We start from the raw sequence: 13,528 nt of genomic DNA, 5'->3' as shown, positions 1-13,528 counted from the left end.
TGTTTTCTATGTTGGACTGGCATTCTCTGAGACGATGCTTCTTAAGCTGTAACATGCATACACATTCATGGGGATTTTGTTAGAATGCAGGTCCTCGTTCAGCAGGTCTGGGTCCGGGCGTCTGAGATTCCACATTTCTAACAAGTTCCCAGTTGACATTGATTCTGCTGGTCCAGACCACACTTTGAGGAACACGGCTCTGAGCTATGCCCAGATCATTCTCTTTTTTTTGTTTGTTTGGTTTTTGGGGTTTTTTTTTTGAGGCACCTGTGGGGCTTTATTAGATAAACAGACCCCAGCTCCAGCCACAGGCTTGAACCAGCCCACTGGGTATGGCCTCAGACATCCCCTCCAGCTTCTCTGCCTCCCGGCCCAGCCCTGGAATTTCTCAGGGTTACAAATGTGTGCAGGGTCAGGGGTGTGCTGGCCACAGCGGGATGTGGTATTTAGGCCGCCCCACCTCGGTCTGGTCCTGGCAGGACCCACACCTGGCTCTGCTGTGGGAGCTGAGAACAAAGACCCTGTCCACCCCGCTCCTGCTAGCCCTGGGGGCTCAGCCAGCACCCACCCTCCCAGTGGCCTGGAGAGGGGCTGGGGTGCAAAGCCTCACTCCCTCCCTCTGAGCCAGATTGCAAATGCATCTCCCAAGAGTGTCCTGGGGGGCAGGAAGGAGGCCTGCCCCTCCCCAGCCAGTGCCCACAACAGGGGGTGTCCTGGCGGGCGGAGCGGCTGATCTCCACCACAAGATCATTCTTTATAGCTCATGTCCAAATCAATCTCCCGACATTCTAAGGTATTTCTTTCCTGGTTGTAAGTCGGGGGTATATTCAGAAACAGAAGTGAGGACATACCGGAGACGTCCGTCCAGGTGCGCCACGGATCCTGGTGACAGCGTGTGGACGAAAATGCCAGAGATGCATTGGAAGTAGGGAACGCTGCACAGGCCGATGCCCAGGCCCACGCCGGCCTCTGGAAGCAGAACAGGGCGGGGTGGGGAGACCGGGACTGAGCTTTCCCAGGGGGCCTACTCGTCGATTGGGTGCCACAGACATGGCCCCCTGGTTATTACAGCTTTCATCCCACCCGTATTCACAGAGTAGTCGTTGTGTGCAGGCACCGCTCTAGGGTCAGAACAGTGACCAAGGCAGGCAAGGAATAGTGGGGAAAGACTAGGAAGGAAGGAGCGAAGGAGGGAGGAAGGGAAGGAGGGAAGGAGGGAGCTAGATGAGAAGAGAGGACAGTATCTAAGAGTGATAAGTATTATGTGGTGAATGTACGCAGAATGTGCTGGAAAGTGAGGGATGGCTACTTCAGGCCTCAGAGGAGACACCAGTTGGGCTAAAATACAAGTGACAAGAGTTAGGGGTGAAGAGATGGGGCAGAGCATCTCAGAAGCAGAAACAGCCAACGCAAAGGCCCCAGGGCAAAAGCAAGCATGCCATGTTGCAGGACCAGAAAGGCCAGTGTGGCAGGGACACAGCCTGCATGGGAGAGCAGCACATGACGGTGAGAGAGAGGGATCAAGCGCAGATTCAGTGGGGCTGTGTCAACAATGGCATGTCAGTGAACGGGTTTATTCTCTACTGAGAAGGGATGCCATAGGAGAACTGTGAACAAGGAAGTGACATGATCTCATTCCTATTTTTATGAACACATCTGGCTACTGTGAAGGGAAAGAACTATGGGTCATGGAGAATGGAAGCAAGAAGACCAGCTAAGAGGCCTCTGTTGAGAGAAACAGTGGTGGCCTTGGACTTCACCTCCAGTGAAGATGGAAAGAAACGGATGCCCATGGAAGATATTTTGAAGATAGACTTGCTGATGGATGAAGTATAGAAACTTAACAAATAAAATCAAAATAACTTGGAGATCTGTTTGGCTTGAGTAACTGGGCAGATGGTAATGTGATTTACCAAAGCAGGGAGGGCTATGGAAGCCCAGGATTATGAGGGTAAGACTGGGGGGTTCAGCTTTGCCCAAATGACATGTGCAATGTGCTGGAAAGTGAGGAATGGATACTTCAGGTGGCTTCACAGGCAAGGGGGTGCTGTCAGGATGTCTGGGACTATCCCAGCGACGTGTAGAGCAGATGTTTGCACAGATGAAGCCGGAACCCAGAGGAGAAAGCAGGGTGGAAGCTGAAAGTTTGAACGTAGCTGCATGTAGGTGGTGTTAGGGCCGTGGGGCTGGATGGGATCCCCCAGTGTGTGGGAGAGGAGGGCCTGGGGCTCACCAACATGGAAACGCCTGGAAAACGAGGAGCTGTCAGCAAGGAGGACCAGATGGAGTGAGCACAGTGTGGGGGAAGGCCCTTTACAGTTTTCTTTCGACACGTATGATTTACAGAGCACTTTGGCAAATGTTTTCACCTTCTCATGCTGGTCCTCCCAGCAGTCCCATGAGGGAGGCCGTGACAATTGTTGGCAATCCCATTTTATGGATGAAGAATTTGGTAAAAGTCAGAGCCCTTCCCACAGCCCAGGTGTCCTGACTAGAGCAAGTTTTTCAGTCTAATGGGCGTCAGAATTGCATAAGATACTTGTTTAGAATGTGGATCCCTTGGCCTCACCTCAACTTGTTGAACAAACACTGTTGAAGCAAAATCTCTGGGGGTGGAGTCTAAGAAGCTGCATTATATAAAATGAGCAAACAAAAATCCTCCCTAAGGTGTTTCTGATGCCAGTGATCAGAGGAAACACCACTCCAAGGCCATGCCTTTCCCATTTTATGCCTGCTCAGCAAATGCACTGCGGGAGCCCTGGTTACAGCTGTTGGGACCATGCCAGCACAGACTTGTCTGCCCCTAGTCCTTATGCCAAGCATTGTGCCAGGCTTGCAGGCATACAGAGGCATCTGAGGCCTCAGGGAGCTTTCAACCTAGCAGGAGAGTTAAAACACACATCAGGCAAAGCTGTATGCAAGGAATTAACTATGTATGCTTCCCTTCCACTTCGACAATATATCTCAAGCCCATCCTCTTCTCTCCAAATCCACTACTCCCAATCCCTGACCCAAATGGCTGCAAGTGGATTCCAAGCCTCTACTTTTGTCACACTATGGGCCATTCTCCGTGAAGAACCCTAGGAGACATTTTTTGAAGCATAAGCTGATGTGTCACTCGCCTGCTTAGAAATCTATAAAGGATTTCCAACTCCAGTTAGAAGAGAATCGAGCTGCAAAGCCCCACAGGGTCTCTCTGCCTCTGCCAAGTACCCTGATGTCAGCTCTCACTCTGCCCACCTAGCTCCAGCCATGCTGGCCTTCATTCTGCTCCTAGAACACATGCTGGCCCCTGTGCTGGAGCCCAGCTCTGTGCCTCGCTGCCTCCTCTTTATCCTCCAGGTCTCAGTTCGGTTGCATTCAGGCAGAGAGGGCTCCGAGCCCCCACCTGGGGGGGTGGCAAAGGGAATGGCTGTCTGTTCCTGAATGTCAGAGGTAGAAAGGACCTCAATTCTCTGCCACAGGTAGGGAAACTGAGGCCCAGGGAAGGGAAGGTGGCCTGCCCAGGGCGTCTTAGCATATTTACTGCAGAGCTACCACTCCTGGCCCATTGTTTCTCTCTCTCTCTCTCTGGGTATTTTTGTGTTTGAGTTTTTCTTTGCTTTGTTTTGCTTTATTTAAACCACTGACCCAGAACACATTGACTAGGTTCGAATGGTATGTCTTGAGCTTCTATAAACAGAAGACTCGACCTGGCTCCAAGCAGTAGCTGTAAAATGTGCTAAAAGACAACATCCTGCCCTACCTCTGGACTGATTCCAAGTGAGGAAAGCCTGGGAGACTCAGCCAGTGCTGGGAGACCCAGGCACGGGACACAGCTGCAGCACTCCTACCTTTCTGCAGAGAAACCTCCACCATGATTCTGTAATTGGGCTTGGCGGTGCTGATGGGAGCCGAGGGGCTTTCCAAGGCGAAGGAGCTGCTGTCCTTGGTGATACAAGTGCTGGAGCTCAGGGAGCGGCACAGTGGGGGAGACAGGTGGCTGCACAGGGAAGGAGGCGCCGTCAGGCGGGTTCTCACGGTGAGGGTGAGGAGCCCCTTTTTGGCTTGCTGAAAGAAAGAGAGAGGGCTACAACACCCAGCAGCAATCCAGGGTGAGATGAAGAAATACTGTTTAAGGAAACACACCTCTGTGTGTGTGTATGTGTATGAAATATAAATGTGCGCATATATTCATACATGTTACAAATTATATTATGACATATTTGTATATATACACACAACTACTATATATATTTACATATGCCAGATAGATGGATGAATAGATAGATAGATGGAAGGATAGATAGATGGATGAATAGATGGATGGATAGATAGATGGATGAATAGATAGAGATAGATAGATAGATTGATTGATAATAGATAGATGGATGGATAGAGTCATGAATTGAACTAACTAGATGGAGACTTAGGAATATCATTTAGCAATTATCTTAAAAACTTAAAACAGATTTGTAAATATACCATGATAAATACACAGAGTGTTTTAAAACAATTTTATAAATATTAAAGAGTTTTAAAATCCCCCACAACAATCCCGATCACACTATTATTTTCTGAGTCAGGTCTTCTTTTAACCCTGCGCCAAGATCAGCATCAGTGAGGTGCCTCATGTGAAGGGTTCCACAGTTTGAATTTGTAGGTTTGGATGCTGAGAGCTTGGTTTCTTTGCCTGAAGGCCCCAGAGTTTGGTCACGTGTTGATAAGAAATGGTCACCTTGAACTTCTGCAAAGCATCCTGATGTGTTAGTCCAGCCATTGATTCACCATTGAGCTCCAGAATTTCATCACCTGTTTAGAGAGAGAAAGTGTAGCTAAGAAGAGTGTTGCCCAATCAAAGGGCATTATCATTACCTTTAACTCTAGTCTCCCCAACTGCCCGGCTTTTTGTATGATGCACGAAGCTCTGGAAGAACATTTTCTCATTTTGTGCTCTCCCCTTGCGAAGCAGGCAGGGCAGCAACATGGGCCTTCTCTGGCACCCACTCTCTTCCAGGGTGAAACCCAGGGTTCTTAGCCAGGCACACAAGTCCTGGCTGGATATGGTCCTTGCCCACCTCTTTGCTTCACCTCCTTCCTCCTTGTCTCCCTGACCCTCACACCATTTGCTCCCATGCATCATTTTCTGATGCAACACGACCTGCATTTTCCACAATGGTCTGTGCAGTTAAATGCTTGTCCATGCCATTTTCTCAAATAAAATATACTTCCACTTTCTCCTCCTATCCCTTCTTAATCTTTAGGCCCCTGCTACCTTTAGCTCCTTTCTATGTTCATGTCACACTGTACCTACTGCACTTGTCACCCTGGGTGGTGATCAATGGCCTGCACCCTCAGTCACTCCCTGGCCAGGCTGGCAGCTTGTTGGGGACAGGGATTTTGTCTTATTAGATGATATATCCCCAGGACCAATGCTGAATGAGGTCTACAGATTGCTCAGTGGATGTGGTTTGGATACGATTTTCCAGAATGCAATGTAGACCCCATTTTACAATAGAGAAAAGTGAACTCAGAGAAGTCCGAAGTCATATGGTAAAAATAAATAAATAAATAAATAAATAAATAAATAAATAAATAGGACTTGGATCTTTTGACTGCAAGTCCTTTTTTCACAACAGTATACTTGTAGGAGAATCATTCTTCCTGTAACCAAAAATCCATTTCTATGTGAACAGAAAACCACTTTCTCCCTTTCTTTCAATTTGTTCAATACACAAACAGGGAGCACTTTCTCTGAATTCAACATTGCACCAAGCAACTCAGATATAAATACTATGTTTACACTGACTTCTGGACCTGGTCGTTACTGATGAATCTGCTGTCGCCTAATCATGGTTCCATTGTATATGATCCATCCTTTTTCTCTGGTTTCTTTTAAGGTTTCTTTTTCTAGCTGGGCACTGTGGCTCACACCTCTAATCCCAGCGCTTTGTGAGGCTGAGATGGGGGCACCCTGGGCAACATGGCGAAACCCTGTTTCTACAAAACGTACAAATATTAGCTGGATGTAGTGGCATGCACCTGTAGTCCCAACTACTTCAGAGGCTGAGGTGGGGGATCACTTGAACCTGGGAGATCAAGGCTGCAGTGAGCTGTGATTGAACCACTGCACTCCAGCCTGGGCTACAGGATGAGATCCTGTCTCAAAAAAAAAAAAAGGAAAGAAAAGATTTCTTTTTCCTTTGTCTTTGATATTCTGCAGTTTTACTATGATGCACTAGAGAGAAAGGAAACATTTTGTGTTTCCTCAAGCAGAAATATCATGCCTTAAGTCAGTTCTTGAAAATTATAAGCCACTATCTTTTTGCATACTATCTCTCCCTTTTCACTCTATTCTTTCTAAAATTCCTATTAAATGTATTTTGGACCCTTTCAACCTATTCTCCATATTTCTTTAGTGCTCATCTTTTTCTTCTTTGATCTGCGTGGCCTACTGGATAATTTCCAGTTCACTAATTCTCCTTACAGCTGCATCTAATCTTCTGTTTAAGCCATCCATTGAGTTTTTTATTTCAATGACTGCTTTTTTTGCTCATTTCCAAAAGTTATTTTTTTCACTTCCACTTATTTTTTTTTTTACTGTTTCCGGTCTTGTCTTACAGTTTATATTCCTTTTTTTATCTTTTTAAAATGATTTTAAACATAGCAATTCTATAGTCTCTTTTAGATTGTTCTGTTAAGTTGTTAAGGGCTAACGCTCCTCTTTGTTATTTCTGCTGACTCTCCTCAACAGTGGACATTTCCTGATGTAGTATAGTATGTAATCTTTATAAACTCATTTTCAGGATATTCTGTTTTTCTATGGGATTCCCATACACCCCAGGTCACTGCCAGTTTTTCCTTTATTTCCATTTGGCACCCCAAGGTTTTCACTGGTTTGGGACTAGTTTTCATATTAATTTCTTACCTTGGCATTACCTTTGCTTTACAGGAACTATAAATGTAACCTGCATGCCCATATATGACACAATTTTGATATTCACTTTTTGGTGAGAGATGTTTTTGGCCAACTGAGGAGCCATGGGTAAAGTTAAGTTTCCTTGTTGCTCCCCTGGGGCCTGTTGGCTTTACTGAGGGGAAACTCTTTCATTATCAAGGCTGTGTGCAGGTTCTCAGAGCCTCACATGGACCCAAGGCTCTGTCCCCTCTGCCCATGTGGGCATTCAAATCTGAGTTCCAGCCCTTAAGGTCTATAAGCATCCAGCAGCCCTCCCCGCCACATCATCAACCCCTGAGTCTGCCATTCTTAGATTTAAAGTTGTTTCTTTGTTTCTTAGCAGCTGGGCATTTCCACGTCTTTATTTTGATTTTGGATGTGCTATATTATTTCACAAGTCTACGTATTGGAAACAGGGGCTGGAGGCAGGGTGGGGAGAGTATTCAGATCAGTTCCGTCTGTTAGGTTGCTGGAGCCAAAGTGAAAAATAAAAGGAACCAGTCCTTGTCATTGTGAGACTCCAAGTCTGGGAAGGAAAATAGATACATTTAAAACATCAGAATATAATTACATGTGTGCTGAAAGAAGGATAGACAACAAAAATTCAGAATGTCCATTCTTAATTACCTAAGGGGCTAGACTTCTCTTTAAGTTATTAGAATGTCCATCTTACTGGGGCCACACAGCCCAGCTCTGGGCTTTTTGGAATGTCCTGTCCTTATTTGGCTATATCTGGTAAAAGCTGGCTGATTAGGTTTTGCCAAATAAATCTTACACAATAGTTTCTTGGAAGGGGAATAAAAGTAAAACATTAGTAGCCTTGATCTGTACACCAAACTTTTGTTGCAACTAATGTATTTGCCCTGAATTCAAGATTCAAATATTTACTTTTAAAAGAAGTTACAAAAGATGATTTGGTCAATGTTTGAGGCTAGAATCAGGGATCATATACTAGCTGAGAGTCTTGACTCATTGAAATCTTCAATTTTTATGATTGCTGTTAATTAAGGGAGGCAAATGCTCAGAAAAAATAAAAAGTTTGGCTTGGGCAGGCTTACATTCAGGAAAGAGAACAAAACACAATATTCTCTTTTCTTGCCACTTCAACCCTTCCCCCACCCCTTTGTTTAAACACAGAAAAGTACAAAAGATAATAAAACACATGATGGCACACTCCCAATTCTGATCCCACTGTTCTTTTTTCCTCTCTTTGACATTTCCTCTCCACCACCCTCTTGATTTAGCTATTCCCCTAGAACGGCATCTGGGCCCTCCCCTCCCCTCCCCTCCCCTCCCCTCCCCTCCCCCCCCTCCTCCCCCGTCAACTGCTTGGTAACTTCAGCTGTTTTTCTAATGTCCATGCTCCCCAAATGTCTGCATTCACTTCTAACTCCCTGAACGGAGAGAGAACGGATGTCATTTCCCTGCTGGACAGCGCCATCTCGTGGTCATCCAGGGACATCGCTCTCCCTTCTGCCACTCAAACCTACACATCCTGGTTTGCCTTCCTTTTCCTCCTCCTCCTCCAGTGCCTCTTACTCTATATAAGGCAATGTCTTTCTCTAGTTTACTAAGACCAGAAACCTTCCAGTTCTCTCTGACCCGCCCCGCCCTTTGCGACCTCTGCTCAGGCTCTGTCACTTCTCTCATCTGCTCCCTTCTCCTCCCAGGGTTACCGCCTCTGTGCAGTCCTTGGAGCTGGAGCCTGGGGCTCACAATGGCCCACTTCATCCTACACTCTGCTTCCTGAAGCCTCTGAAAACCCTGGTCACAGCAGGTCCCTCCCATAGTATAAAAACCTTCAAAGGCTCGCCATTGCCCACACCCTAAAATCTGTATGTGTAATTCTGCATAGTGCTCGGGTTGATAAACTTTTTCTGTAAAGACCCAGATGGTAAAAGTTTTAACCTTTGTGAGCTGCAACCACTCCACACTATGCTGTAACATAAAATCCATTTCTATGTGAACAGAAAACCACTTTCTCCCTTTCTTTCAATTTGTTCAATACACAAACAGGGAGCACTTTCTCTGAATTCAACATTACACCAAGCAACTCAGATATAAATACTATGTTTACACTGACTTCTGGACCTGGTCGTTACTGATGAATCTGCTGTCACCTAATCATGGTTCCATTGTATATGATCCATCCTTTTTCTCTGGTTTCTTTTTCTAGCTGGGCACTGTGGCTCACACCTCTAATCCCAGCACTTTGTGAGGCTGAGATGGGGGCACCCTGCTGAGATGAAAGCAGCCCTGGATGACAGGTACGTGGATGAGCGTGCTCGAGTCCCCAGAAGGCTTTTTTATGGATACTAAAATTTGGATTTCATTTCATTTCCACATATCATAAAATAATCAAAAACACTTTTAAATTTTCAACCATTTAGAAATGTAATAACCTTTCTTTGTTCATGAGACATTGAAAACAGGCGGTGGGCCAGATTTGGCCCACAGACTGTAGTGTGCCTACCCTGCCCTAAGCAAGTTAGATGATTAAAGGTGGTTAGGCTCCCAGCATAGCTTATAGAAAGCGAGCTGACAGAGAAGAGTGAAAATGCTATGAAGTCACTTCTCTTCAGACCTCTGGTGTATGGCCCAGTCCTTGGCCTGCAGTGGGTACTCTCTGCCCTGTGACTTCCAGCCCCTGAACTTTGCCTCCTGAGTTGAAACCTGGCAATTTCTTTGGGCCAAACCTGTTGCTCAATAATCCATGAATGACTTTAGGGTGGAGGTGGGGGTGGGGGGAACCCTGACTCTACAGGACAAGAAGACAGGCAGCTCTGTTTCCCTGGCCCCTCACTCCCAGGATGGATGAGGCTTCTGTCTTGTGAGGATATGAAAGAGTTGAGAGGGGGTGGGTTGATGGAAGAAAGGTGGGTGGGGAGTGGAAGAGAGGGTCCCTGTGGCAGATCATGAGCTCTTCAGGAATCATGCCTGATTGTTTCTATCTGTATTCCTAGACCCTAGGATTCAGTAGGCTCCTAGCAAATGTTTATCAGACTCATCCGTTACAAGGGTTGGAAGCATTGAACCTGGTTTCCCTATGGTTGTGGGTTAGGAAGGACAGGGAGAATGAAGGAGAGGGGGTGTTAACGGATCCCAGCAACTGAGACAGGATCTTGGATGGAAAGGGAAAGACAGCCGAGAGAATGGGTGAGAGGAGGGAAGGGTCAGAAACAGACCCCTCAGACTTCAGTCCCACCCAGGCTGGCCCCAAGACCAGCTAAGGGGTAACGGTGCCAGGGGCTAAATGTGCAAACATGCACAACCAACCTGCCAGTCATAATGAAGACCCCCTCGGGGGAGCTGTGTCCCCATTGCTTGCAGACCCCAGGATGCATGCTGGCCGTATCCTGACAACTCAAGACACATTTTGCATTCCCAACATCTTCTATGGCCCCAGCAATTCTGGATTCTGCTTCTGATTCCTCCACCATGGTCTGAAAAGGGCTGGGAAGCCTACCTTCCTGTAGCCTTCCATCGGCTGCTGCTGCTCCCCCTGCAAAAATGGTTTTGACGTAAATCCCAATGGGGCCATAAATGCTGTCTTTTCCCCCAACGATGCTGAAGCCCAGACCCTGGGGAAAAAAAGAGAAGGTCTGATTTAGGGGTAGTATTCCATGCTTCTCATTGGCCTGATGCCTTCTGAGGGCCTGCCTCAGCCCTGAACAAAGGGATTGGGAAGGAGAGAAGGTGCCTTTGGTCTCAGAGGTCTCAGAGGTTAACAACAACAACAACAACAACACCAACAACAACAACAAAAATAGGAAGAGCAGCGGCATGAAGGCCAGCCTGGGCTGGGTAGTGTCTGGAGCTTTCGCGGGAATCTGAAGTTTCCCACACAGAGGGAGGCTGGATGGAGACCAGCACCCTGGCTCTGTCCCTCCAGTTGGCAATCCTGGGCCAATCACTTTCTGCTTCTGAACCTCAGTTTCCCTCCTTTTAAAATAATAATGATATTACCTAACTCACAGGGTTGTGTTTGAAAGTAAAATGCCTAGCAACAATCATAAAAATACCAACAATAGTAATAATAGTAGCAGCTTTACAATGTAGCCCTTCTCCCACCAAAGGCCTTCTCAATCCCCTTCTCAAGGACATCCCTCCAATCACGTGCTCTCCCTCCTGCACCTGCTCTATCTGCCATTGTCCTAGGTGATTCCCATGAGCCAACAAACATATCCTGGAATTGTACAGGTGGCTCTGGGAGAATAAACTCATAGCTCAGCAGATAGTTCCAGCTGGGGAGCAGCCAGAAGGCAGTAGAGAAGGCCAAACAGGAATAAGTCCCGGGAAAGGTTGAGTGAGGTCTACAGCAGGAAGAGAAGGGAGGGTGGGCACAGCTTCCCCTGCAAATCGGCCAGTGAGTTCACAGAATGGCCTGGCAGACCTGAAAAGCAGCAAAGGAAATCCATGTGACTTGCTCAATTTTGTTGAGGACTAAGGCACCCCATGCCGCCCTAGAGGGCATAGCTTGAGTCTAATAAGCAGCTTTCTAGACTATAAGCTCTCTGAAGACAGTAAATGCATCTTATTTCTGTGTCTGGCCTCAGGCAGGTGCTCAAGAAGCACGTATTACAGGATAAAGGCATAAATGCACCTGGAGGCCAGGCTTTTGGGTCCAACGTACAAGCATGCCAGGCAGTGGCCAGTAGCTTGGCTCCTAGACAGACCCTTTAAAGTGATGGCCACTGCTGTAACAGAACCATTGCTCATGGGCAGTTTACTTCAGGCCAGAGCCGCTGCGCTGATTAGGAGCATCACCCCGTGCCACAGAGACAACACGCTGTCCTCCATCTTCTTGACACTGTAGGGAGTCAGTGGGAGAGCCGTGGGGATGAGCAGCTGTTCTAAGCCTCTGGTGAAGGTGGTGTGTGTTCCAGGATGGGCAGGACAAATGGTGTCCGGGAGTAGCACAGGCTTAGGAAAAGGTGAGGTAGGAGCCCCTTCAGGGCTCCTCCACGGGCCCCTAGCCTTGTCCTGGCTGAGACGGCTGCTCTAGACTCAAAGTCTCACCCATCCTGGGGACTCAGGATGGCGTCATGGTTAAGAACAAGGCCCAGGGGTCAGACAGCCTGGGGTCATTGCCTTGGTTCGGCTCCTCACTAACCAAGTCACCTTGGACGAGTCCTGCAACCTCCCAGGTCCCCCGTCTCCATATCTATATACACACATACACACAGAGATATTCATTAGAGATAGCGTCTCCCTCTGCTGCCCAGACTGGAGTGCAGTGGCTCTATCACAGCTCACTGTGGCCTCAAATTCCCGGACTCAAGCAATCCTCCCACCTCAGCCTCCTGGGCAGCTGGGACTACAGGCATGTGCCAGCATACCGGGTTAATTATTTTATATATTTATTTATTTATTTTATTATTTTATTTTATTTAATTTATTTTATTTTATTTATTTTTGTAGAGACAGGGTCTTACTATGTTACCCAGGCTGGTCTCCAACTCCAGGACTCAAACAGGAGGCCTCCCAAAGTGCTGGGATTATAGGCGTGAGCCAGTGCGCCCGGCTGCACGTCTATAAAAGGGAGATAATAGGAGGGTTGTTGTGGGGATTAAAGGAGTTATGGTTGCAAAGCCCATAGCACAATGCCCGGGTTTTGGTGGCTGGTTTTATTGTGTGATTTGCTTTTGACTCTACCTCAAGCACTTGCTGATCCCTCTGGCTCTAACTCCTCCTCCCCCTGCTTCACTGCTACTTGTCATCCTGTTAGTGACGAGATCTTGGGGTGTAGGTTTTATCGCCAGATAGTGGGAAGCCTGCTTTATTTCTGAACTCATCATCACTGCTCTGTACATGAGGATTTCTATATCAAATGATTCATCTTCTTCCACCCCCCGGCCTCATAAAGATTACTCATTGAATGCATATTTTGTGCACACCAAGATAACTTAAACCATTTTTGGTCATCTTCACATGAGTTTTGGTGGCGTTTACCATTTCACCTTCTTTTGGGCACTGCAAACAATTTAAAAGTCAATCCAAAAAAATACTACTACCTAAATTGAAGGGGAAAAAGCATCGTGATTTACTAATCAGAAAATGGGTCCTTCAGAGAAAGTCAGCATAGAAGACAGTTACTCCCTTGTGATCAGAGGAGCATTCGTCCCAGCATCTCTCATGTCTCTCTTCTTTTTTATTTCCTGCTAAGCTCCCAGCAGACAGAAGGGACAGGAGATGGAGGGAAAGAGGACTTGAGGTGTATGGTGGGGCCCCTCCCCCTGGACAGACCATAAGTAGCAATTAGGTCCTCCTCTCACACCACACAAAAAATTATATTACATAAAGAAACCACCCTTTCATTACTTTAGCACCTGGGTTGCTTGGGCTGGCCTGAGAGCTTTGCAGTCAACCTCACGCACAAGGTGGCATGTTCTGGGAGCAGTGCAAACCTGTGTACGCCCCCTATCTCACCATCACCACCAATACTTTTGTATCCCCTTTGGCTATATCTCCATTATGAAGCAGAGATCAGTATGATGTTTCATCATCTTGAGAGAGGTAGAGTTAGTTCTGACTCTTCCAGATGCTACAATTGACAGCCAAAAGCACTATCAACCATTGAATTTCCCACAT

General features: G+C 46.9%; 1 protein-coding gene across 16 annotated transcripts in view, besides 3 other annotated features; it reads right to left on the bottom strand.

Annotated features, from left to right (window-relative positions):
* IL16 (interleukin 16) overlaps positions 1-13,528 on the bottom strand; it is a 131,347-nt gene that overhangs the window by 30,451 nt on the left and 87,368 nt on the right. For all 16 annotated transcript variants that reach the window (NR_148035.2, XM_047432447.1, XM_047432448.1 and 13 more), the window contains 4 exons: positions 10,404-10,518; positions 4,718-4,791; positions 3,834-4,050; positions 852-969 (listed from right to left, as the gene is read on the bottom strand). Coding sequence is in view for 14 of the 16 variants with exons in the window: in XM_047432447.1 (XP_047288403.1) it covers positions 852-969; positions 3,834-4,050; positions 4,718-4,791; positions 10,404-10,518 (524 nt within the window). In the remaining 2 variants the exon portion in view is untranslated. The remainder of the gene's footprint in view (positions 1-851; positions 970-3,833; positions 4,051-4,717; positions 4,792-10,403; positions 10,519-13,528) is intronic.
* Positions 8,226-8,520: an enhancer, noted in NCBI's record as "tiled region #15421; HepG2 Activating DNase unmatched - State 12:CtcfO, and K562 Activating DNase unmatched - State 12:CtcfO". NCBI's record gives its function as "activates a minimal TATA promoter and a strong SV40 promoter by Sharpr-MPRA in HepG2 and K562 cells {active_cell/tissue: HepG2 | K562}" and the evidence as "EXISTENCE:reporter gene assay evidence [ECO:0000049][PMID:27701403]".
* Positions 8,226-8,540: a biological region, named in NCBI's record as "Sharpr-MPRA regulatory regions 3481 and 15421".
* Positions 8,246-8,540: an enhancer, noted in NCBI's record as "tiled region #3481; HepG2 Activating DNase matched - State 12:CtcfO, and K562 Activating DNase unmatched - State 12:CtcfO". NCBI's record gives its function as "activates a minimal TATA promoter and a strong SV40 promoter by Sharpr-MPRA in HepG2 and K562 cells {active_cell/tissue: HepG2 | K562}" and the evidence as "EXISTENCE:reporter gene assay evidence [ECO:0000049][PMID:27701403]".

The sequence above is a fragment of the Homo sapiens genome, chromosome 15 (assembly GCF_000001405.40).
Source record: "Homo sapiens chromosome 15, GRCh38.p14 Primary Assembly".
Classification (NCBI taxonomy): domain Eukaryota; kingdom Metazoa; phylum Chordata; class Mammalia; order Primates; family Hominidae; genus Homo; species Homo sapiens.
This window is presented reverse-complemented; position numbering and strand designations above follow the sequence as displayed.